This window comes from Homo sapiens, chromosome 17 (assembly GCF_000001405.40).
Source record: "Homo sapiens chromosome 17, GRCh38.p14 Primary Assembly".
Lineage (NCBI taxonomy): Eukaryota > Metazoa > Chordata > Mammalia > Primates > Hominidae > Homo > Homo sapiens.
This window is the reverse complement of record NC_000017.11, coordinates 46,935,981-46,961,823: the sequence shown is the minus strand read 5'-3', so window position 1 is coordinate 46,961,823 and position 25,843 is coordinate 46,935,981. Positions and strand designations below refer to the sequence as shown.

The 25,843-nt window shown below is 48.1% G+C and overlaps 2 protein-coding genes across 35 annotated transcripts in view, besides 1 other annotated feature; both read right to left on the bottom strand.

Annotated features, from left to right (window-relative positions):
* The window catches only part of LRRC37A2 (leucine rich repeat containing 37 member A2), a 676,337-nt gene that overhangs the window by 87,305 nt on the left and 563,189 nt on the right, over window positions 1-25,843 (bottom strand). The window lies entirely within an intron of this gene.
* Window positions 1-25,843, bottom strand: part of GOSR2 (golgi SNAP receptor complex member 2) — a 52,731-nt gene that overhangs the window by 14,067 nt on the left and 12,821 nt on the right. For 11 of the 34 annotated variants that reach the window (NR_148349.2, NR_148350.2, NR_148351.2 and 8 more), the window contains one exon: window positions 23,120-23,225. Coding sequence is in view for 27 of the 34 variants with exons in the window: in XM_017025383.3 (XP_016880872.1) it covers window positions 23,120-23,225 (106 nt within the window). In the remaining 7 variants the exon portion in view is untranslated. Of the gene's footprint in view, window positions 1-810; window positions 6,324-8,993; window positions 12,882-13,166; window positions 13,259-14,266; window positions 14,451-19,803; window positions 23,226-25,001 lie in introns of those variants that run through there. The other 23 variants (XM_047437114.1, XM_017025389.2, XM_047437115.1 and 20 more) reach the window with 11 other exon arrangements.
* Window positions 18,032-18,968: an enhancer, noted in NCBI's record as "H3K4me1 hESC enhancer chr17:45020222-45021158 (GRCh37/hg19 assembly coordinates)". NCBI's record gives its function as "activates a minimal SCP1, AML or CMV promoter by ChIP-STARR-seq in naive H9 embryonic stem cells {active_cell/tissue: H9 hESC(naive)}" and the evidence as "EXISTENCE:reporter gene assay evidence [ECO:0000049][PMID:30033119]".

Below are 25,843 nucleotides of genomic sequence, written 5' to 3'. Positions count from 1 at the left end.
CATTAGATAAAGGGTGTACATTTTGTTGGATATTAATATTTCTATACTAGCTTTATTTTTGGTTAGTTTCTTTGTGTATCTCTTCTTCAACTCATTGCTTGCAAATTTTCTATGTCGTTATATTTTAGGTACACATCATACAGCTGGACCTTTTTTAAAAAATATAATCTTTTTACAGACGTATTTCATCTTTTCATTTATTGTGATCACTAATATATTTGGATTATTTCTATCATCTTACCTACTGATTTGCTGTTGCTACACTTTTCATTTGCTTCTTTTTTTAACAGAGGCAGAGTCTTAATTTGTCACCCAGGCTGGAGTGCAATGGCGTGATCATAGCTCACTGCAGCCTCGAACTCCTGAGCTTAAGCAATCCTCTCACCTCAGCCTTCCAAATAGCTGGGACGATAGATGCACACCACCATGTTCCAGTTATTTTGTTTTTTGTAGAGATGGGGTCTCACTATGTTGCCAAGGCTAGTCCCGAACTCTAGGCCTCAAGAGATCCTCCTGCCTCAGCCTCCCAAAGTGCTAAAATTACAGATATTTGTTTCTTCTCTTACTTCTTTCATAGTCTCTACTAGTTTGAAAATTATACATATTATTTCTGTTTTTTTAGTGGTTACCCTTCCATTTTTAAAAGCATCCTTGTTCCAAAAGTCTGAAATTAATCAATATCTTTACCTTTATCCTCGGCAAAATCAGGACTTTAAATGTTTACATTCTAATTATCTCTCTCATCTACCAAGTTATTTTTGTCTAGTATTTTATTCCCACCTTGTTTTTTTTAAACTCTCCCCAAAGTAGTCATTATAAATGCCTTTTATTTTTATTTCAAATTTAGGGTAAAATTTACTTTTTTGACGTAGAGCACTATATATTTTGACAAATACTTAGAGTTGTGTCATCATGAACACAATCGAGATACTCCTTCATGCTGCCACTTTGTAGCCAAATCCACAAACTCTTCTTCCCTTAATGCAGACAACTACTGATCTGTTCTTTGTCCCTGTGGTTTTTCTTTTCCTGAATTTCAAATAAATGGAATCACCCAATAAGCTGCCTTTTCCATCTGGCTTCTCACACTTATCTTAATGCATCCATATCGTTTCACACTTCAGTAGTTCGTTCCTTTTTCTTGCTTAGTAGTAATATTCCATTGGATGGATGTATCACAGGTTTTTAAATTTAAATTTTTATCTGTCTTCAGTTGAAGGATATTTGGGTTGTATCCTGTTTTGGTGATTGCAAATAAATCCTCATGTAGAGTTTTTTTATGTATGTGTGAACAAAAGTTTTCCTTTCACTTGGGTAAATACCTAGAAATGAGATTGCTGGGTCATATAGGAAGCACACGCTTAGCTCTGTAAGACACTGCCAAACTGTTTTTCATAGTGGCTGTTCCATTTTGCATTTCCACCAGCAATGTGTGAGCATTCTAGGTGCTCTATGTCCTCGTCAGCACTTGATATTGTCAGATTTTGTGTTGTGTTTGTTTGTATGTATGCCAAGTGTGTAGTGACACCTCATTGTGTGTCTAATTTGTCTTCTATTGAATGATGATGTTGAGCATCTTTTCATGTTCTTAAGTGCCATCTGTATATCTTCTTTAGTAAAGTGTCTTTTGCTTTTTAAAAGTTGGGTTGCTTGTTTTCTTATTGTTGAGCTTTGAGAGCTCTTTCCATATTTTGGATACCAGTCTTTTGGTAGATATATTATTCAGGAAATGGCATTCTGGTTGCCCATCAATGAATTTGGTTAGCCTGAATCAGTCCTGAGAGGCTGACAACTTTTGGATGTCCTGGCCCAACCAAGTTTCTGGACTCTACTGCTGAGGACCAGATCTGGACTATTGTGGCCACTCCAAAGTCCACTCCATGATGTCCTGTCTCAGGGCCCAGCCTGAATTCCTTTAGAGGAGCTCTCTCATGAATCGGTCTTCCTGCTCAGTCCAGGAGAGGGAAGAAAGTCAGCTCCAGTGGTGGGAAGAATGGCTTCTGAGGACCTCCAAGGATTGGAGGACTTTCCATGGTTAGTGAGACAAAAGGGAAGGGAAAAGTTTTGTAGTGGAGAGTGGGATGGCAAAGGAGAGAGCCCAGAATAGGAAAAAAATGCTCAAGAAATGTCCTACCTTAATCCTTTCCCACCATAATTCAGCATAAGGGGACTGCTATCCATGGGAGTTGGTATGAAAAGTTTTGGGTGCCCTCTTGAGGAAAAATCACATGGCTAAACATTTATAATAGTAATAAGCTCTTGAGAGTGTTTTTTTCCCAAAAACCTGGGCTTCCAAATGCAAATGAAACCCAGAAGAACCTTTTCCTTTGCTCTAAAGTCTTAGTTCCAAAAAGAAAGATGAAAAAACTCTCCTTTCTCAAGCGATTTAAGGCAATCTGAGCTCTAGGATCTGAAAAATAGCCAATGGCTTTTGAGGACTACCAGACAAAAAGAAATACACTTAAAAGGATGTGGGTGGGGAACGGGGTTGGATTTATGTTACTCCAAAAAGAAAGCAGAATGCTTTTCCTTTTTGGTGTGTGATTAAAAATGTTTGTAAATTGGAGGTTACACACTCTACTGCCTGCTCTGAGCTCACAGTCAGTCTGTCCATCTGTCTGGTGGTAGGACACAGGTGACACTTCTGCCACTACGCCCAACCTCCTACTTCCCACCATCTCATCAGTATCGCTGCCTAGCCACATTCTAGATTCCCACCACAGTCTTTGTACTGACTCTCACCTGACCTAGGAAACTCCTCTGCCTGTTAAGGACAGCCTTGCATGCAGCTATCTTTCTCAGGCCACTCTTCATGGCTGCACAGAAACCTCTTATTTTTGCATTGGCAGTGATTTTGGTAAAAGCATTTCCCATCTCATGCTATTCACTCAGCCTTGTAATAGTTCTTGGAGGTAGGTTGTACATTTCACTGTAGAGGAAACTGAGGGGCCACACAGCAAGTCTGGGAGGGGAGCAGAGCAGGCTAGAGCTCCGTTCTCCTAACCTATGTCATGTGTCAGCTTTCTATGGACTGGACTCAGTTTTCAGGCAGACTTAAATGTCCCAGAACCTTTGACTTCGCCGGAAGTTGGCTCCATCTCTCACTGTGCCCCTGTGAGGACCTCTGGAGGCTAGGGAGAACTCTTGTCCATCAGAGGGAGTGGTGGGAGGGCGATGCCCTGATGGCCCCCTCCCCTGAGCTGGCACATCCCACTGGCACATCTCACTGTGGTATCCCACACCCAGGCCTCTAAGCAGCTCAAAAGGAGCTCACACAGACGTCTCTAAGGCTTCTTCCAGATCCTACTTCCAGTGGCTCTTGGCTTAGTCAGGCTGTGAGACACCTTGCTTCCTGCCGTCAGCACTTCCTTCAGTTCGAGAATAAAAGGAAGCCATTCTCTGAGCCCCCACACACGTTTCCCACCCCCAGTCTTCTTTGCTAGCTCCCGCTGTTGCAACTGTCAGGAGTGGATTTTTGGGTAATTGTTGCCATGGAGATCCTGTCTTGAATTATTGTGCAAATGTGTCCCATATTTCTCCTTATTTGGTGTGTGATTTGTATGCCTGTAAAATGTGAAGGTTGACGGCTCCACTTCTTTCCCTGCCCTCCAAGTTGGTTGGCCTGACCAAACCTTCTTGGCAGCCTGCTCCCCATTCCCAGCTCCTCTGAGGCCCCCTGGCCAGTTGCTGCCAATGGAAAGAAAGTCCTGCACAAATGGGGAGAGGAGACCCACTCTCCATGGGTTACGGGTGAGGTGACCCCCGGCCAGTGACATTTGGCAGCAAAGACTCCCAAAGCAGCAGCCATAAGCCCCTTGGTGGGAATGAGCCACCAACTCTCAAAGTTAGGAGTCGCTCAGTCAGATCTCCGACTCCCTCTCACTTCCATTGCCATGCTAGGCACACTGATCCCTGCTGCAGCGTCCTGGGTGAGTGCCTTGCCTCCGTTTCCCCTGAGTGCTCATCCTCCTCCATGGAGATGTCTGGATCATTAGCACTGATTGTATCATGTCTCTCTCCTGTCCGATATCTGGCCCATTTCCCCATCGCTGCTTCTACCAAATACAGGTTCAAACTGCATCCTGGGGCTGCCATCAATTCCCTTCTCTCTACCAAACAAATCTTCCTTCATGTCCTGTTTGCCTCTCCCCTTCTCCTCACCTGGGCTTCCTGCTGTCTGGGTTTTGTTTGTTTGTTTGTTTGTTTGTTTTGAGACCAAGTCTCACTCTGTCACCTAGGCTGGAGTGCAGTGGCATGATCTCAGCTCACTGCAACCTCTGCCTCCCAGGTTCAAGCAATTCTCCTGCCTCAGCCTCCTGTGTAGCTGGGACTACAGGCACCCACCACCACACCTGGCTAGTTTTTGTATTTTTAGTAGAGATGGGGTTTCACCATGTTGGCCAGGCTGGTCTCAGACTCCTGACCTCAAGTGATCCACCTGCCTCAGCCTCCCAAATTGCTGGGAATACAGGCGTGAGCCACAGCGCTTAGCCTGGGTTTCTTTTTTTGTTTTCTTTTTGAGGCAGGGTCTCACTCTGTTGCCCAGGCTGGTGTACAGTGATGTAAACTCAGCTCACTGCAACCTCCACCTCCTGGGCTCAAGCAGTCCTCCCACCTCAGCCTCCAAAGTAGCTGAGACTACAGGCACATGCCACTGTGCCTAATTTTTGTATTTTTTGTAGAGACGGGGTTTCACCATGTCACCCAGGATGGTTTTGAACTCCTGGGTTCACACGATCCACCCGCCTGGGCCTCCCAAAGTGCTGGGACTACAAGTGTGAGCCACCGTACCCAGCTCTCTGGAGTCTTGATTCACCTGTCAGCGGGCAGCCTCGCCCAGCTCACCCCCGCAACCTTTATGCAGCTATTTTTCCTTCTTGTGTGGCTTTCCCTGACTCTTTTGGGGATTCATCACTTTCTTCCCTCCATTAGCATCCTTTCTTGCCACATGCTCGCTGTGGAGCTGCTCTTTCAAGGATTTAGTCTTGGGGCGGGAGTGAGGGGACTCAAAGGCAGGGCAGCATGCTGACGAGAGCAGATGGTGGTATCCTCTCCAGCCAGCACTGGCAGCCACGCAGGCTACTCCCATCCAACAGGAGCCACGAGACAGTAGACACATGGCCGCCCCCTCAGCGTCTACTTGCATTTGACAAGCTTCCTAACGAAGGGATTCATCATTACACAATCATCAAGGGACAAGAGAAATAAGAAACACTGGCAAGGGCTGGGTGCGGTGGCTCACGCCTGTAATCCCAGCACTTTGGTAGGCCAAGGTGGGTGGATCACCTGAGGTCAGGAGTTTGAGACTAGCCTGGCCAACCAGTAGAGACAGAAACCCTGCCTCTACTAAGAAAATACAAAAAAATTTAGCCAGGCATGGTGGTGCATGCCTGTAATCCCAGCTACTCGGGAGGCTGAGGCAGGAGAATCGCTTGAACCCGGGAGGTGGAGGTTGCAGTGAGCTAAGATGGCAGCATTGCACTCCAGCCTGGGCAACAAAAGCGAAACTCTGTCTCAAAAAAAAAAAAAAAAAAAAAAAAAAAAAAGGACTGGCAAGGCAGAATCCTGGCCTTAGGCGGGTAGAGATTTCTACCCCAGAGGGGACAGGATCTGAGTTAAACCCTTGCAAGTGTTGTTGAATAACAGATTCTGATCCAGAACTAGCTTTATGTGCTGTGAATCGGTTTTTCCCTGAAGGTTAAGATGGACCCTCCTGCTAACTGCTCCCGGCTACCTTCTTCCTCCCACTCTCCATCTCTATGGGGTTCAGACTCCGTATCTTCCTGTCTTGCCAAGGAGGCTCCATGGGGCATGGAAAGATTTTCCATTCCCAGTCTGATGTGAGGAGAGACAGCATCTGGATCCCAATGGGATAAGGAATTAGAGTCTTCGCCCTCAGGAAGTTGCTAGTCTGATGGAGACACAGCTCTTGCTCTAGAGAGTTCAGGAGAGTCAGTTGGTAGGGTAGGGTGGGGTGGAGTGGGTTTGGGGTGAGAGAGATGAGACACACACACAACTATGCTCAAATACTCATGGAACCCAAGTACTGCTGAATCAAAGTGTTAACAAAAGTGAGTGCTGACAAGGTAGTTAGGATGATGGAGTTAAGACCTGGTTTGGAAGGCTTTCTGGAGGAGGTGAGTGCAGAAGGAATGGTTCGGTGAAGAGCAGACAGGATTCCAAGCCATGCACTGCTTCAGAGGTGTGCTTGGCCTCAGATCTCCATAGGGAATTAATGAGTTTTTCCTTAATAAGTGTAGTTTAGATGTCAAGTCTTTTCAAGTCTTTATTTGACTCTTGTTGAGATAAGAATTTGGGGGGCTCTGGCAGAGACACAACAAAAAAAGAGAATTTTAGACCAATATCCTTGATGAACATTGATGCAAAAATCCTCAATAAAATACTGGCAAACCGAATCCAGCAGCACATCAAAAAGCTTATCCACCATGATCAAGTGGGCTTCATCCCTGGGATGCAAGGCTGGTTCAACATACGAAAATCAATAAACGTAATCCAGCATATAAACAGAACCAAAGACAAAAACCACATGATTATCTCAATAGATGCAGAAAAGGCCTTTGACAAAATTCAACAACCCTTCATGCTAAAAACTCTCAATAAATTAGGTATTGATGGGACGTATCTCAAAATAATAAGAGCTATCTATGACAAACCCACAGCCAATATCATACTGAATGGACAAAAACTGGAAGCATTCCCTTTGAAAACTGGCACAAGACAGGGATGCCCGCTCTCACCACTCCTATTCAACATAGTGTTGGAAGTTCTGGCCAGGGCAATCAGGCAGAAGGAAATAAAGGGTATTCAATTAGGAAAAGAGGAAGTCAAATTGTCCCTGTTTGCAGATGACATGATTGTATATCTAGAAAACCCCACTGTCTCAGCCCAAAATCTCTTTAAGCTGATAAGCAACTTCAGCAAAGTCTCAGGATACAAAATCAATGTGCAAAAATCACAAGCATTCTTATACACCAATAACAGACAGCCAAATCATGAGTGAACTCCCATTCACAATTGCTTCAAAGAGAATAAAATACCTAGGAATCCAATTTACAAGGGATGTGAAGGATGTCTTCAAGGAGAACTACAAACCACTGCTCAATGAAATAAAACAGGACACAAACAAATGGAAGAACATTCCATGCTCATGGGTAGGAAGAATCAATATCATGAAACTGGCCATACTGACCAAGGTAATTTATAGATTCAATGTCATCCCCATCAAGCTACCAATGACTTTCTTCACAGAATTGGAAAAAACTACTTTAAAGTTCATATGGAACCAAAAAAGAGCCTGCATTGCCAAGGCCAAAAGAACAAAGCTGGAGGCATCACACTGCCTGATTTCAAACTATACTACAACGCTACAGTAACTAAAACAGCATGGTACTGGTACCAACACAGAGATATAGACCAATGGAACAGAACAGAGCCCTCAGAAATAATGCCGCTTATCTACTACTATCTGATCTTTGACAAACCTGACAAAAACAAGAAATGGGAAAAGGATTCCCTATTTAATAAATGGTGCTGAGAAAACTGGCTAGCCATATGTAGAAAGCTGAAACTGGATCCCTTCCTTACACCTTATACAAAAGTTAATTCAAGATGGATTAAAGACTTACATGTTAGACCTAAAACCATAAAAACCCTAGAAGAAAACCTAGGCAATACCATTCAGGACATAGGCATGGGCAAGGACTTCATGTCTAAAACACCAAAAGCGATGGCAACAAAAGCCAAAATTGACAAATGGGATCTAATCAAACTAAAGAGCTTCCGCACAGCAAAAGAAACTACCATCAGCGTGAACAGGCAACCTACAGAATGGGAGAAAATTTTTGCAATCTACTCATCTGACAAAGGGCTAATATCAAGAATCTACAATGAACTCAAACAAATTTACAAGAAAAAAACAACCCCATCAACAAGTGGGCGAAGGATATGAACATACACTTCTCAAAAGAAGACATTTATGCAGCCAAGAAACACATGAAAAAATGCTCATCATCACTGGCCATCAGAGAAATGCAAATCAAAACCACAATGAGATACCATCTCACACCAGTTAGAATGGCGATCATTAAAAAGTCAGGAAACAACAGCTGCTGGAGAGAAATAGGAACACTTTTACACTGTTGGCGGGACTGTAAACTAGTTCAACCATTGTGGAAGTCAGTGTGGCGATTCCTCAGGGATCTAGAACTAGAAATACCATTTGACCCAGCCATCCCATTACTGGGTATATACCCAAAGGATTATAAATCATGCTGCTATAAAGACACATGCACACGTATGTTTATTGCGGCACTATTCACAATAGCAAAGACCTGGAACCAACCCAAATGTCCAACAATGATAGACTGGATTAGGAAAATGTGGCACATATACACCACGGAATACTATGCAGCCATAAAAAATGATGAGCTCATATTCTTTGTAGGGACATGGATGAAGCTGGAAACCATCATTCTCAGCAAACTATTGCAAGGACAAAAAACCAAACACTGCATGTTCTCACTCATAGGTGGGAATTGAACAATGAGAACACATGGACACAGGAAGGGGAACATCACACACCGGAGACTGTTGTGGGGTGGGGGGAGTGGGGAGGGATAGCATTAGGAGATATACCTAATGCTAAATGACGAGTTAATGGGTGCAGCACACCAACATGGCACATGTATACATATGTAACAAACCTGCACATTGTGTACATGTACCCTAAAACTTACGTAAAATAATAATAAAATAAAAAAATAAAAAATAATAATAAAATTTAAAAACAAAAAGAATTTGGGGGGCTCAGAGTCATTTGAATGAATATTGTGTGCCAGCTTTGCATCGAGCATCTTATGTGGGGTATCTTGGGAGGAGAGAACAGAGGCAGGGAAAGACATGGGTTTGGTTTTGTGGAGGTTTGCACTGAGGGGTCTTTCACTGAAAGAGATGGAGATCCAGTGCAAACCAGCTTAAGTAGGAAAAGGATTTATTGATTGGCTCTCCAAATTGGGAAGTTCTGAGGCTTCAGGCATGGCTCAATCCAGGGACTTAACTGATATTGCCATCTCTTTCTCTGTCTCTCTCTCTGTTTTGCTTTCTTCTCGGATCACTTTATTCTCAGGTGGCCTCTCACATAGCTGGAATAAAAGCCTTCAGGTTAAGATGTCTCCATCTCAGCCATCAGTTAAGAGTGGACTAAAGGAGCCATGTTCCTTTTGAAACCCTTTCCCAGAAGTCTCTCCCAGCAACTTCTGCCCATATCTTATTGACCAGAATTGGGTGACCTGACCCCTACCTGCAAGAAAGTCTAGAGGCACAAATATCTTCAACTGGACTTCTTGCTAGATCAACAAAAGTGGCGTGTAGCTAGTGAGAATAGGGGAGGAATGGATGTTGGTCAGGAAACCAGCAGTGTCTATGGGAATTCCAGGGAAGATTCTGATCGGCCCACCGCGCAGTCATGTGGTCACCCCAAACCGACTGCTTTGGGCTGCTGACCCAGTCCTGCATGGACCAGGCCTGCTTCAGGCGCTGACCCTGCTGGAGGAGGCAGCCCTCGCTGAGTCCCGTGGCACAGGTTTTCCACAGGAAGGAGAGACAATGGCACCAGCAGAAGGGGATAAGGATTTGTAGTCCAAAGACGAGATGCTGGGTAGATAAATGACATCCACCCACTATAAGAATTTTCTGGAATAGAAAGAAAATGCACCAAAAAAATAGCTTCACAAAAAATAACAACCCAGCTTCAGGAATCTCCCCCTCTCCCTGATGCAATATATACGAAGTTATATTGCAGGAACCAAATATAGCCACTCTGAGAGGATGCAGAGAAAAACGGTTTAGAAAGGAAGACTTCCTGGTGGGGGTGAACATGGAGCTGGGCTGTGAGGGAGGTGATGTCTGGGGGGGAGAAGCAGCGAGGCAAACACCCCGAGGGAAAAGCCAGATTTTCTTGCAAGGCTGAAAGGCGGGCAGAGTGGGGGAAGAGAGGGCCCTGTGTGTTCTCCCACCCTGGGCCATTTTTCCTCTCTGAGTGTACCTGGGCCCCAGAAAATTAGAGGTTTCCTTTTCCTCTTGTGTCACTATCTGACTTTGGGGCAACCCTGTCAGCATTACCCTGGCCTGGGAGGTTGTGCAGAGGGGAACGGGGAAGCTCTCCAATGCTAAGTTCCGGAAGAATGGAGTAGGGTGGCCTCAACATGGGGGCAAAAGAAAGTCCCTGGGAACAAGTTCCTAATCCAATTAGCAGGTGATTATATGGTCGTTTTCAAGGGCTACGCCAGTTAAAAGGCACCTCCCAGGAGGCTCTCTCTGGCAGCTTGACAAGTCACTGCTAAACCTGTGATCTGGAGACGTGGGCTGGCGCGGCAGCTGGGCGAGGAGCCCAGGCTCAGAAAGCTGGGGTGGGAATCTTTAAGGATGAAATTGATGGGTAAGGAGCTTGCTGTTGTCATGGAAATGGGCTCTGGGTGGATGAGCTCTGGTCCAATGGGTAACCTGTGGGGAGAGTGCCACCCCTACCAGACTTCACTGTGGGCGGCCAGCGGGCACCTCTGGAACCCGCCGTTCCAGCCAAGCCTGTGGGCTGCGTCCACCTCTGTCTGCCTCCTCCTAGGGACAGCGTGGTCTGGCAGTGCGTGTGCCAGTTTCTGTCAATAACTGAGGGGTGTGGAGAGATGATGCCCTCAAGCTGGAGAAGCCTTTGGCGTGGCTCCTGCCACCCTGACTTAGCTGTGCCTGGCATGAACATGGTACAGTGACAGGCCATGGGCGTGTAGTTGGGGCGAGGGCCACAGGCTAGTTTAGGACAGCGTGGCATGGTGAGACTGTCCCTGGGCAGCAGCACTGGATTGGGAGTCGGTGACTTCCCCCTCTGACTCCAGATCTCTCATCACCGACTGGGTCACCCTTGGCAAGTCATTCTCCCCCAGAAAGTCTGGCTTGGTGGTCCCCAAGACCACTTCTGGCCCCGCTTTTCCTCTGTTCTGGGATTTGGAACTGGACAGTTTTGATCTCATCAGCCCCATGTCTCAGCCCACTGAACTACCCCACCACAGAAGAGTGCCCCCACACAGACCAGTCCCTGCCCTCTCAAGCCACTGAGCAGGGCCCCGGGCAGGCAGGATGGTGGGGCAGCCCCATCCTGTCAGCCCTTGCTGCTCGGGGTCATCTCCCCCGCTAAGTTCACATGGTGGAAATTCCTGAAGCTCATGGCTGCCCCTGAATGCTCTTGGAGATGGGCCTAATAAGCTGCCTGGTCCAATTACCCTTCCATTTCCAATAGGTGCTATTTTAATTGGGCCTTTCCCTGGGACAAGTGTGAAGGAAAAAGCAATTTGTAGTATGGGCTTTTGGCTCTGGCACTGATCATACACTTAGCAACTTCATCTTCTCCCCCTCCATCTCCTTCTTTTCCCTCCCCTTCTCTCCATCCTCACCCTCCTGGCCCTTTCACTTGCCTCTGCCACCTCCTCAGCCAGCCGCCTCCTCCTCACCTACAAGAGGCAGAGAGTCCACACTCTCTGGGGACCAGTATGGAGGGAAGAAGACCCAAGAATCCAGCTGGGGGTGAGGGATAGGAACGAGAAGTGACTCAGGGGCTGCTCTCAGCCCCCGTGAACTCTTGCAGAGACATTGAAAAATACTGGAAAGGCAACAACTGAGAAAGAGAATCTCAAGTTCCTATGATATGAAAGTGGGTTCTCCCTGTCTTTATCCCATGCTCCCTCCAGGAGGCCCCACGGCCTCTCTTTGGGATTTGGTTTCCTCTTCAACACACACTGCTCACTCCAATTTCAATCAATATTTATGAAGTGCCTACTGTGTGCAGAGGACCAGGGACTGGAGGAGGGCAGGGACTAATGAGTCTGCTCTTAGGCACCCCGCGTCTGGCCTCAACTTACCTCTGCAGCCTTTCTTCCCTCCTCCACACTGAACCTGAAGCCTGAGCTCCAGCCACAGAATCCTCCTGCCCTTCCCAGAGCACACCCCTTTGCTAGATGACTCCCTCTGCTGAGACCGTCCGCCCAGGCTCCACCTGCTCCAGTCTGACTCATCTGAGATTCAGCTCAAAAGCCTCCTCCAGGGTTCCAGGGTAAGTAGATACTACTTCTGCCATGGCCCTAAGCACCTTGTACCTGTGTGACGGTTTGTGCACTTTATTGCTGCATGCTCATGTATGTCTTCCCAGCTAGACGTGAGCATCATTCAAGGGGAGTGTGGCAGATTGTACTCTCCAAAGATGGCCACCCACCGTGTCAATTCCATCCCACCTGCTCTTCTTAGAATGTGACCCACATTCTTCCCACTGAGAGGCAGCTGGGGGCTTGTGACCATATGGCTTGTGATCACCACGGCCAAAGGAGTATGGCAGAACAGAGGCCCTATGACTTCCGAGGCTTGGTCATAGAAAGTACACAGATCCCACCTGCTCTCTCCCTTGGGATACTCACTCTTGGAACTCAGTCATCATGCCCTGAGGAAGCCCTGGTCCCATGGAGAAGCCGTGTGCAGGTGTTCCAGAGGATAGCCCCAGTCCAGGGCTCAGCGACATTGTGTGCCCAGCGACACTGTGTGCCAGCCACATCAGTGAACCTTCAGATGATTCTCCTCCCAGCCTTCAAATCTTCCATCTGAGGCCCCAGACATCGCTGAGCAGAGACAGCTATCCCAGCCACGCCTGGTCCCCAGTTCTTATGCTCAGAGGCTGTGAGGTGTAGCAACTGAGAGCTATTGCCGTCAGCCCCTATGTTTTGTGGTGATTTGTTACACAGCAGTGGATCACAATGCAGGTGGGTCACGTCTGTTCTCCAAGGCCCAGTCCCGTGACTGGCACCTGGTGGGTGCTCAGTTCGTAGCTATCGAAAGAATGGATGAATGAACTTTAGCAGGCAACAATTCCAGACTGATCTGTCAATCATCATCCTCATCTTTCCTACATCTTCCCACCATGGTTCCACGCCTCTCAGGGAACCCAGGCAGTCCCAAGCCCAGCCTTGATGATGTCACCGAGCCCTAAATCAACCAGCTCTGCAGGCTGCCCCACATCCACAGTTCTTACTACTTAAGCTCCTTAGATCAGTATCTAACCCCAGCAGTAAGATCCTGGGATTTCTGGCCCTTGCAGCCCTGCGCATACTCACTGATCCACATGCTTGATTGGCTTTGTCTTCACCACAGTTCTGTGAAGTAGGCCATTATTAGCATTCCCATTTCCCCTACGAGGACACTGAGGCTGGGAGAGAAAGAGGGAGTGAGCAAGTCCTAATAGGTAATGAACTGGAGATTTGAATTCAGGTCTTCTGATGAAGAACACAGGAATACATGTGCAATATCGTATCTTGTAACAAATAAAGTCTGACTGGCAAATACTTGCAGTCCTTTCTTTGGGGATATCAGATCCTTGACTCACAATCACACCAGCTGAATGAAGGGATCAGACCTGGGTCCTATGCAATGCTAGTGAACAACCACAACAAAACCTCAGTTACCATCTTTCTATGTCCTGGGCTGTGCAGTAGGCACTTTACAGGCATGGCAGTATGCACTGGCCACAGCTGCCCTGTGAGATGGGCATTATTCATCTCCAAAAGGTGACAGAACAGAGGCGTGGAGAGGTGAGGTGGCTTGCTCAAGGTTCCACAGCTAAAGGGCAGAGCTGATCTTCACACTCCACCTGCTTGACTCCAATCACTAAAGGTCTTCTGTCTCCTGACAAAAATCACTTCTAGGCTGGGCGCGGTGGCTCACGTCTGTAATCCCAGCACTTTGGGAAGGCCAAGGCAGGTGGATCACCTGAGGTCAGGAGATCGAGACCAGCCTGGCCAACATGGTGAAACTCTGTCTCTAGTAAAAACACGAAAAATTAGCCAGGCGTGGTGGCACATGCCTGTAATCCCAGCTACTCAGGAGGCTGAGGCAGGAGAGTCGCTTGAACCCGGGAGGCGGAGGTTACGGTGAGCCGAGATTGTGCCATTGCACTCCAGCCTGGGCAACAAGAGTGAAACTCCATCTCAAAAAGAAAAAAAAACTATTTCTAGTGACGGACAAGCTCTCAAATACAGGCACTTTTGCTACCACTTGAGGTAGTTATTATTATTCTCACTATACAGACAGGACGCTGAGGTTTGGGTGATTAGCCCAAGGTCAGGCTGCTAATAAACAGCAAAGTCAGGATTCTAAGCCATGTCTGCCATCCCCATCTCAAACATCATCCCACCACCCCCATCACATTACACTGCACCTAAAAAGATCATGTCCAGGTCTTCCTAGGACAGTGGGGCTTGTCCACACCCACACCAGCCTGACAGCTTCTCCAGCTCTCATCAGTATCTCAGCAGCATGAACGTAAGTTGTAGGGAGCTCTGAAGGTGTGTGGCAGTGACAGCCTCTGCCCTGCCTCCGCCTGGTTGGTGGTTTCACCAGATCTGGGGCAGGGTGGGGAGGGAGCAGGGGTAGTTCAGGTTGCCAGGTGCTCCTGGGAGAGAGACTAACAACCCACAGCCCACCACGACCTCTCTCTTGCACACATACACCAAAGAGGAGGCTGCCCTGCTTCCTGAGCAGTAACTCCTGGGGCCACAGAATCTAGGACATGCACAGGGTCCTTCCCCAGCCCTCCTGGTTTCAGAGACAGCTGAGGGTTCCTGCATCCACATTCATGTCAGGGTCCCCTGGCCTTCCTCCACACCCACCTCCAGCTTCACCCTAATACGTCCCTACTCTTTCCACAATCCACTCCAAACCCAGCCTGCTGAGAACCAAGCTCACATGGCTCCCCTGTGAATCTGGCCCCCGTCCCACCTTCCCCAGGGGCAGCAGTCAGTTGCAGCCTCCTCTCACTGCTGGGTGGGCTCTCCACCCTCTGATATCTACCCCACTTGCTTGGCACTTGACTGCTGCCCCGCGACATCTCATAATTTTTGTTTTTTTAAAATTGAAACAGAGTCTCATTTCGTCACCCAGGCTAGAGTGCAGTGGCACAATGTCGGCTCACTGCAACCTCTGCCTCCTGGGTTCAAACAATTCTCATGTCTCAGCCTCCCAAGTAGCTGGGACTACAGGCGCACACCAACTTGCCTGGCTAGTTTTTGTATATTTAGTAGAGACGGGGTTTCACCATGTTGGCCAGGCTGGTCTCGAACTCCTGGCCTCAGATAATCCACCTGCTTTGGCCTCCCAAAGTGCTGGGATTAAAGGTGGGAGCCACCATGCCTGGCCTCTCATAATTATTAATTACTTTTCTGTTTAAGGGCTGCAATACTGAGCTTGAGCTATTTCTTTTTTTTTTTTCCACAAAGGGAATATCCCAGGCCACCTACTTTTTTTTTTTTTTTTTTGAGACGGAGTTTTGCTCTTCTTGCCTAGGCTGGAGTGCAATGGCGTGATCTCGGCTCACTGCAACCTCCGCCTCCCAGGTTCAAGCAATTCTCCTGCCTCAGCCTCCCGAGCAGCTGGGATTACAGGCATGCGCCACCACTCCTGGCATTTTTCTTTTCTTTTTTTTTTTTTTTTTTTTGGTATTTTTAGTAGAGACAGGGTTTCTCCATGTTGGTCAGGCTGGTCTCGAACTCCTGACCTCAGGAGATCTGCCCACCTCGGCCTCCCAAAGTGCTGGGATTACAGGCATGAGACACCGCGCCCAGCCTACATTTTTAATTTAAATGTGGTTTCCTCCAAGTGAGTGACGACAGAGAATTGATTCCCAGGTGGCCTAAGGAGGTGGCCACAGCTGCTGTTCTGGAATTCAGCCCTGGAGGCCCCGCCTTCCAAGGGTCTCCCAGGGCCCCTGGATTGAGGTAAGAGAGGCTGCCCTTTGCCACAGGGGGAAAAAAGAAATGGTTTCCTGGAAGAAATCACCATGGACACGGAATTTATACCCACTCCATGCACATAGCAACAATAATTTGGACAGCACCCGGCAGCGATCAGGGGTTTATCTCCAGGGTTTTACCTTTTGACATTCACAACCACCTGGTGAGGTCCTGGGGGCAGCAGTGATTATTCTCCCCTCCTATAGAGGTCCCCACTCCCTGAGCTTCTGCCTCAGTCCCTGCACATGCCTGGGGCACAAGAAACTCTTAGAGGAGGCCAGAAGTTGCCAGGAGGTGAGCAGGGCCAAGTGGTCTTGGTTGAAAGAATGTGGATCCTGTTGCTCGGGCTGGAAAGAAGGGAGAACTGCTTCCCTTCTGCATAGCCCACGCCTGTTCCTCTCTGATGAGTTACCACCCAGCAAAGATGCAATTCTGTTTTGAGCTGAATACAGACAGGAAACTGAGGCTGGAGTGATTAAGCCCAAGGTTAGGCTGCTAATAAACAGCAAAGTCAGGATTCTACGCCATGTCTGCCAACCCCATCTCAAACACTATCCCACCACCCCCATCACACTACGTTGCACCTCAAAAGATCATGGGCAGGTCTTCCTAGGACAGTAGGGCTTGTCCACACCCACACCAGCCTGACAGCTTCTCCAGCTCTCAGTAGCATCTCAGCAGCATGAACTCAGGCCTCTGAGCAGCAAGTTTCCCAGCTGGAACACGGAGGACAGTGCGTGGAGGATGTCGTGCAGAAGACAGCACATCAGGCCTCAGAGCCCACAGCAGCCAGGGCTGGTTAGAGCTTCCTCCCTCCCCCAGGCCACTCCTGCCCCTCGACTGCTCCCACATCATCTCCTGTCCTTCACACACCCATCACCTCGCCCTCTCACAGAAAGCTCTTCCTGGTTAATGCCCCCACCACAATGGCCGCACTAAACTATCACCTCTCAACCTCGGTTGTTTCACGAGTAGATCCTGTCTTTCCAGCTGAACAGGAATGATACTCCATTGCACCTGGGATGCACTGACAGCCGTGGTTCTCAATCTCGACCTCACAGGAGACTCCTTAGAAAGTTAAAAATTAAGGCCGGCTGCGGTGGCTTATGCCAGTAATCCCAGCACTTTGGGAGGCCGAGGTGGGTGGATCACCTGAAGTCAGGAGTTCGAGACCAGCCTGCCCAACATGGAGAAACCCCGTTTCTACTAAAAATACAAAAATTAGCCGGGCGTGGTAGTGGGTGCCTGTAATCCTAGCCACTCCGGAGGCTGAAACAGGAGAATCGCTTGAACCCAGGAGGCAGAGGCTGCAGTGAGCCGAGATTGCACCATTGCACCCCAGCCTGGGCAACAGAATGAGAGGAAAAAAAAAAAAAAGAAAATTAAAAATTCTGAAGCCCAGGCCCCACTGTAGACCAGGTAGCTCGGCATCTCTGGGGAGCGAGGCCCAGAATCGGGACTTCCAAACTCTCTGGGGGACTCCAGGAAGCAGCCCAGGCTGAGGGTCACTGCCTCAGACCTCTGGAATCTGCCAAAAGCACTACGTGACTCGGGCCTCATGTCCACCCCAGAAAGGGACGTGGGACAGGTGTTACCCCCATTCTTAGAAAGCTGAGGCTGAGAGGTGTGTGGCCCGTGGTTGCTGCCAGCAGGGCTGGGACTTGAAGCCAGGCTCTGCATCCTGGGCTCAGCGCTCTTACCACAGCCTCCGGCCGCTGTAACCAGTGCAAACTGCGGAGGGCTGCTTGTCTCCAACTCCTTCCCTCTGCCCTGAAACAGCTAACACTGGCACTGGACACATGCCAGGGCTCTGGAAGACGGAATAAAGATGAATGTCCCCTCTTGTACTGTCAGCCACTGTCTTCTGAGGAGGTTGGAATACTTCCCTCCTGGGCCTGGCCCAGCCTCTGCCAGCTCTCCAGGAGCCACCATGTCACAGATGCCTGGAAGGAAGGGCCAGTGGAACCACACTAATGGAATTGCTAAGCCAGGAGTCAGCCTCCGAGAGCCCCCTCTTCCTAGATACCCTGCATTAGTCACGCCTGTCCTAGCCTTTAGCTTATCTAGGGTGACCATCAGACCGAGGGATCGCCAGGATTCAGGACTTTCAGCTTTAAAACCCAGACAAGTTGGTCACTCTACTTCTCTCTCCCCAGTCCTGAGTGACAGTTTCCCTCACGGGGCCCCATGCCTCTCCTCTTTTACTGCAGTCATTGCTGTTGTTGAGGCCCTGTGAGCACATGGCTCGTAGCATCAGTGGCCTTGAACCTTCTGGCTTCCTCCTGGCCTGGCTGCAACAGCTTTGCTGGCCCTGCATGGGGGATGGGCTCAAGTGCTCTCCTGCAGCCGCTTACCCGATGGCGCCTGCGCCTACTACGTGCCCGGGATGCACAAAGGCCCCTGCGGTGAGGAGCAACTCCCATTCCGCAGGAAGCGTGCAGTATGAGGTTGTTTGGAGGGGAGGGGCAGGCTTCTTGGAGGTTTCATGGGATTGTGGGGGTGTTTGTGGCACATCTGAGAGGAAACATCTTGTGCAAAGGTGCAGCTGTACTGAGTGTGTGGCATGTTCTGAGAAGACCAAGCAGTCCAGGGAGGACGGAACACCAGGCAGGGGTGGTGGGGAGGGCTGGGGGCTGCACTGCAGGGGCAGCGAAGAGCTGGCCTGTCACATCAAGGTGCTTTACTCAGCAGAGAGGTGTCAGTTAATGAGGGGCACCCAATGGCCACAAGGGATCTGGCTCCTTCTGATCCAGAGGGAGAATCAGGCTTCCATCCCTGCCCCTAGTTGGTCTCTGCAAGTGGTTCCCACGGTGCGGCCAGGGGAAGTGCATGGGGGACGGGCTAGCCTTGGGTTGATGTTCTTGTATTAGAGCCATCGGCTCCCTACCCCTGGGCATTACAATCGCCTTGGGCAACTCCCAATGCCCCGGCTGCACTCCAGGCCAATTAATAAGAGGGTGAATGGAAGACCCACACATGGGTTTTTAAAGCTCCCGAGGGAATTCCAATGCAGAGCCAAGGTTGGGAACCCTGTACTAGAGGGACATGGGGATGAGGCGGGGAGGGATGGCTCACAGAGGCTCCATGGTGGGGAACTTACCAACAGCACTTGGGGGCCCAGCACCCCTGAACACTCCTCTCCCATGTGCCTTCCATATGAAATGAAAAGGACACAGAAAATGGGGAAGGAATGACACTTTCCTTTCTCAGCTTCTAAGTACAGCAGGCCTAAGGCAGTGTGTTCAGGGCCCACTAGCCACAGATAGGGCTATGCCGCCCCCTAGGGGCAAGGCCTGAGGACAGCTTTCACTTCAGATTCCCTCCCCTTCCAGTTAGGAAATTATTTCCCAACAGGGAACTTGCCCTATACTATCTGAAGGGTCTGCAGCAAACACCTTATAGCTCTATAGTCCATGCCAGCAGGCTGCACCATCTCAGTCCCCTGCACACCTCTCAATCCCCCCAGACCCCAGCAGAGCACCCCACGAGAAGTGTGGGAGATTAAGTGGGCCCATGGTTCCAAGCTGGATGAGGGGCCAGCTCCTCTCGGACTCCTGTGAGGCCTTCACAGTCACCACAGCTCAGCCCCTTGTCTGCATAATGAGGATAAATGATGGAGAACATAAGTGAGAGGGTTTCAGATTGGCAGGGATGGAGCCAGGAAAATCCCTGTCTGACCTCCGTGAGGCCTACAGGCAAGCTGTTTATGAAGGGCCTAGGCTTTCCCTTGAGAAAATGTCACCCCCCGGTTGAGACAGTAACAGATGACGTTTCTTTCTTTGCTTTGGCTACTGGAGCTGAAAGTCAAATTAGGGTTCCCCAAACATTTCTTAGGGTGTTACAACGTTTGAGTTCCTTGTCCTGATGTCGACATTCTACACTGACTTGATTTGTTCTTGTGCCTCACTTCTTTGTATCTGTTTCAGTTATTTCCTCAAAGTCTCCTCAAATCTTTTTTGGACTAAGGTAGGATATAAACAGTAAGAATTTATTTTGGACTTAACAAGTTTTGCTCTTTACACCAATGTGATCATCTTTGAGACAGAAGCTTTCTGTCTAGGAGACAGTGGTTCCAAAATACACACATCAGAATCACCTTAGAGGCCAGGTACAGTGGCTAACACCTGTAACCCTAGAACTTTGGGAGGCCGAAGCAGGCAGATCACTTGAGGCCAGGAGTTTAAGACCAATCTGGTCAACATAGTAAAACCCTGTCTCTACTAAAAAATACAAAAAAAAAAAAAAAATTAGCCAGACATGGTGGCACACACTTGTAGTTCCAGCTACTCAGGAGGCTGAGGTATGAGGATCACCTGAACCCAGGAGGCAGAGGATGCAGTGAGCCAAGATTGCGCCACTGCACTCCAGCCTGGGTGACAGAGCGAGACTGTCTCAAAAATAAAAAATAAAATAAAATCACCTTAGAGATTTAAAAAAGGTTCTAATTCAGATCTGGGGTAGGCCCCAGGAATATGTAATTTTAAAAAGCTTCCCCACTGCTTCTGAAGCAGCCAGCCCAGCCCCTGGCCATGGAGCAGTGTTTGAGAATCTCTGGCCTAGAAACATAAAAAAAGGGGGCCATTAGTTATAAAAATGAATATCGAATTCTTTTACAAAATGTGATTTTCTAAATAAAATAAACCTCAACTTTATTCAGCTGATGTGCTTCCAAAACAATGGGTGTAAATCCAAATTTGCAAATCAAACCCATTCAAATTCATCAGGGCAAAGGGTGTACAGAACTCCGCAGTGAAGTCTAAAAAATCAAGACTCCTCTAACTTACTTGGTCTTGGAGTTTGGCTTTTCTTACAGTGGTCCCCCTGAAGTAAATGTCCATGTAATAAAGAGATCTCAAGTTCCTCTTGATAACCCACCTGTTTTAAATCACAATAGGCACACCAAACTCATGTACAAGGTCACAGAGGCTGGCTACCGGAGTTTCTTGCATCAGCTCGACCTAAGAATTCACCCCCGCCTCCACTAGAGGGTGCTCCTTCCCTGGCCTGGACCCTTCCCTACACTGAGGCGGTGGAGAGAGTCACACTGTTAGGCCAAGGTCTATTTTTCACCAGGCACTGAAAGCAGATGTGTGAAGAGAAGTGGTCATGTGACAACATGCAGTCTCAATGCCCCTGGGTGTCCAGACACACTGGCTGCTGTCCACCAGCCGCAGGTGGTAAAGACCCAAAAACCACCTCTGCAATTTTTATTCCAAACTAGAGGACTGGCTCTGAAGGTGCAGCATGAGGGTTCATCAAAGCCAACCACTGTCAAGTGTGGAAAGCACTGGTGCACACCACGAAAAGATGTCCTATCAGTCCACGCATGATGGGTGCGGGGACTTCTGCCTCCCAGAGTTCAAGAACAAATGGCTCAGCTGCTCCCTGCAGACCTTCCTCCAAAGTGTGCTGTCTGGCAGGATCCTTGGGTGCCTGGGGGACAGGACAGCCTTGCCGTCGCAGTCTCAGAATCCATTTTATGGATTACCAAAAGTCCTGCGCTAGGTCCCTGGCACCGCAGCAGTGCTGTGTGTAATGGAAATGTCAATGTGCCTCCCCAGAGTTAGACAGATCTAGGTCTAAAGATGCTGCAACCCCCCAGTCCACCCTCCAGTCACTGCTTTAACTCTGGCAGGGCCCCAACCCATTTTAGGAGTCACAGATTGCTCCTTCCTTGGAAACCTGGGGCCCATTTGGCCCGGAGGGGTAGGAACAATGGAGATCTCCTCCAACCGAAAGTGTGAAATTAGCATCCAGGAAACTCAGTTAATCTATGACAATTAAGAAAACTTACCAAAGGGGAGCTATGCCACAGAGGTGCCTGAAAGGACCAACATGACTACAGAGCAGCGGGGAGGGGAACAAGAGAGGTGAAGAGGAACACAGAAAGGAAGGGAAATAAGACAGAAGACAGTTCAAGCAACAAGAAACTAACAGAGCAGGTAGGGCAGGACAACCAAAGGTAGGGTTAATACTGAGCCGGTTTCCAGATCTGAAGGATTTTGAGTGTCATTTTATGTCTTGCCATGAAGCTGCTGTGCCCAGGGCTGGTAGGCCTGTGGTAAATGAGAACATACACTAACCAGGTCTTTCTGAGACTTTCAGTGATTCACCACATTAGATGGACTTCAGGACAGATTGGCCTTTATACTAAATTCCACAATATACCTGGTATTAGTACAGCCTGAATCCGGGGCTGGTCACAGAAGGAAAAAGGTTGTAGTCCCTGAAAACAGAGTGTTACAAGGACATACACACTACAGATGTCTCCACGGTGGGATCTGCCCACACTGGCTGGGCAAAATGAGGGCCTGGCTGGCAGGTGCTAATATATTTCAGGGAAGAGAAGGGAACCAAAGAATTAGAGATACTAAAACTAGAGCTGAGACTGTAATTGGAAAATCACAAATCTTTGCCTACAGCTACTTTCTAAGGGGCAAAGGCCCACAAAGCCTGGGCGCAGGTGCCAAGCCACAGTCTCTGAACCTTAAAAGCCAACCACTCTATTAACAACTAGAAAAAATCAGTGACTAGGGTCAAGACTGAACACTCCCGGGAAATAACACTGGCCTCACTTTAGAAAAGAGAAACACCCAGCTGTAGTGTGGAAAATCTTACTTGTTATCGGCAATAGCACTACATCTTGTTTCCCCTAGGTAGCTGCTTCCAGGGAATGGTGACAAGTATTGGCAGTCAGTCATCTACATGTCACTGAGGCACAGGGGAGGGTGGCCAGGAGCACGAGGATGTGAATCGACCTACTATTTAATATAATGGCTGTGAGAAAAGGCCTCTTTCCTTTCCTTTCCACTTTTGCTCCACCCTATCAGGAGCCAGAAAGGCCTGATGGTGACAAGGTGTGAACCGTGTGGACAGTCCTGCACACAGGGCTCACTGTGGACACCTTCCCAGGGCACGCATCAGCTATGTGAACAAAGCCACCAAAGCCATTCTTTCCCTCCCCCAGTGAGAGCGAGAGTGAGAGAGACAGACCCGGGACTTCTTTCATTTCCTAAGCACCGCGCATGGTGGTGGCACTAGCTCCCCCTCCAAGATGTCACAGAAAACAGAGCAGGTTGGAAATTAGACCACAATCACTCCCAAGTGTCTTCACAGTTCAGACAGGCAAACATTTCAAAAGGCGGCCTCTGGGCCCCCCTCTCTCTTTCACACACACACACACTTGCAGGCTGTGGGAATGCTGTTCAGCCACTGAGCGTGGCTGGCTCATGTCAGGTACTGCACCACGAGGAACATGACCACACAGGTCAGCAGCATCCCACCTATCATAAAGTACTTGTCCTGGAAAGCCCGCTTCTCGATGAGCCGCATCACTGTGTTGGACAAGCCCAGCATGTTGGCAATGTCAAGGATCTTCTTCTGAGTCCCCTGGGGCAGAAGAGAACAGAAAAAAAAACAAACATCAAGTCGCTTTACCAAGAGTGGGTGAATGGCATCAGGAGATGGAGCTTTGCCAACAGACATTCTCTTGGTCATGCCCAGAATACACAGAAAGCAATATCAGCCAGAAATAGAGCCACTCTCATGTCGTCGACTGATTTTTGATCAAGGTACCAGAGCAACGCTAAGTGGAAAGAAAAGTCTTTTCCACAAATGGTGCTGGAACGACTGACTATATAATATCACAGGTATGTATTTTATATATATGTATCTCTCTTACAGATATGTGTGTAAAAATTGAACCTCAATTCACATTATACATAAAAATTAATTTGAGATGGTTCATAGAATTAAACATAAAAGCTAAAGCCACAATTAAAGCTTCTAGAAAAAAACACAGGAGAATATCTAAAAACTGCAAACAGGCCAGGCGCAGGGACTCATCCCTGTAATCCCAGCACTCTGGGAGGGGTGGGTGGGAGGATTACTTGAGGCCAGGATTTCGAGATCAGCCTGGGCACGTAGTGAAGACCCCTTCTCTACAAAAAAAAATTAGCCAGGTGTGGTGGTGTGCACCTGTGGTTCTAGCTACTTGCGAGGCTAAGGTGACAGAACCACTTGAGCCCAGGAGTTCGAGGCTGCAGTAAGCCAAGATCACACCACTGCACTCCAGCCTGGGTGGCAGAAGGAGGCCCTGTCTCAAAAAATACATAAATAAATACATACTGAAAACAATGGTGTCACTAATCACAAGATGAATGAACAAACTATGGTAAACCTGTACCAATGGAATACTGCTTTGCAATAAAAAGTACCTGACTACCAACATGGAATTAAATAGGTAACAATATGAATGAACCTTGGAAACATACTGGGAGGAAGAAGCCACATAGAAAAGAGTAGCATGAATACCTTTATATGAAGTTCAATAACAAGAAAACCTCATCTATGGTGAAATAAATCACAACAGTGGCTGCCTGGGGCAGAGGGGTCAACTGACTGGGAAGGGGTACGAGGGATCTTTCAGAGGTGAAATGGTCCGGGCCTTGATGGGAGTGTGAGTTACAAAGGCTGATACAATTGCCCAAATTCACTGAATTGTAAAAATATGATCTGTATACCTTACTGTCTGTAAATTATATCTCAACAAAAATACTTAAAATTAGAATATTTTATACTATAAAAAGAAGGCAACATCAAAAAACTTGTCCTCGGCTCTCTAGTTCCAATAATCATTGATACCAACCTATTTACTTTGTAGAGTACAATCTTTGAGGTTTCTTCTGAGTACAATGGGTGGGTCAAGTCCATATTTACAAGAGGGTCTCAAGTGGGAAAGACGGAAAGACACCAACACAATGACCTAAAACCCTTCTATAGATGGCATCACCCACCACCAAAACAAAAGGGCATTTTATTCCTAAACCAACAACCCAAACCATCCAGCCTGTCCTTCCCTACTGCTTTCTAATTTTCAGCTTAAAGCACATTCAATTTCTTAGTAAGAAACAAGTATAAGTGAATGCCGGGGCAGACCCCAAGTCACTCAGCACATATCACCCACTGCAACTTATATGCATGGCATCTAACCTCATGCCCCATATCCTTTTTTTTTTTTTTTAATAAATACACATTAATGAGCAACTGAGAGAAACAAGGAAAGTGAGATCAACATTAGGCATCATGGACAGGAATCCAAAATCTACATTCTGCCCAGAAAGCAATTAAGAAGCCTCAGCCAGAGAAATTACAAGTCAAACTTCATTGCCATCAGAGATCAGAGAAATGTATTTGTATTTTTTTTTCCCCGAGATAGTGACAATACAATCAGACTCTTGCTAAAGTCCTGCTTGGCTCTGAACACACAGATTATTTCATCACTGTATGAGGCTAAGGATCAACCTTCTAAATCACTTGAAAATGACCATAAATTTCAAAAAATGTATTCATTTTCAGCCACAAATTGGCCCCAGTCATCAGAGTGCTTCAGCCTAGCCCCTTCATGCCCTCTCCTATGTTCCTTTTGAATGGTGTAGGTGGAAAATCCCGACGGAGGCAGGGTGTGAGGCAGGTGGAGGGAATCAAGAGACAAACACCAGGTAGCCACAGGTGTGCAGAGGAAAGTTAGAAACCTCAAGTCTCAACCCCCAGCCACCTCACAGCCTTCCCCTCTGGTATCAGTGTGGGTGGCAAGAGGTGTGCTGATGCCCCAGCGCTGCCAGACTTGAGTGGGAAGTTAGCATGTGCCTTAACAGGACGCTCTAACCCCCACTGGCTCTTCATCAGTGTGACATGGAGTTTGGTCCTAAAAGGCCTCTACTGTTTTTCTGAGATATGAAAAGGAGAGTAGCAGTTTTCTAAAGAAAGGGCAGACTAATCAACATGTATCAGTTCAGGTCACTGCAGGTGGCTCTCATGAAAGGGGAGCGCCCAGCAGGCTGCTGGAGACCACCCTTCCAGGCCATCTGAGACACTGCAACTGTCAGCAGGAGGTGAGTGTCACTTGCAGCTTGCCTGACCCTCTCCCCCGTAGAGATGGCAGGGACTGTTCAGAAACGTACTGAAGTCCTGTGGAGCTGACAGACTCAACATGATCCAACAAAAAC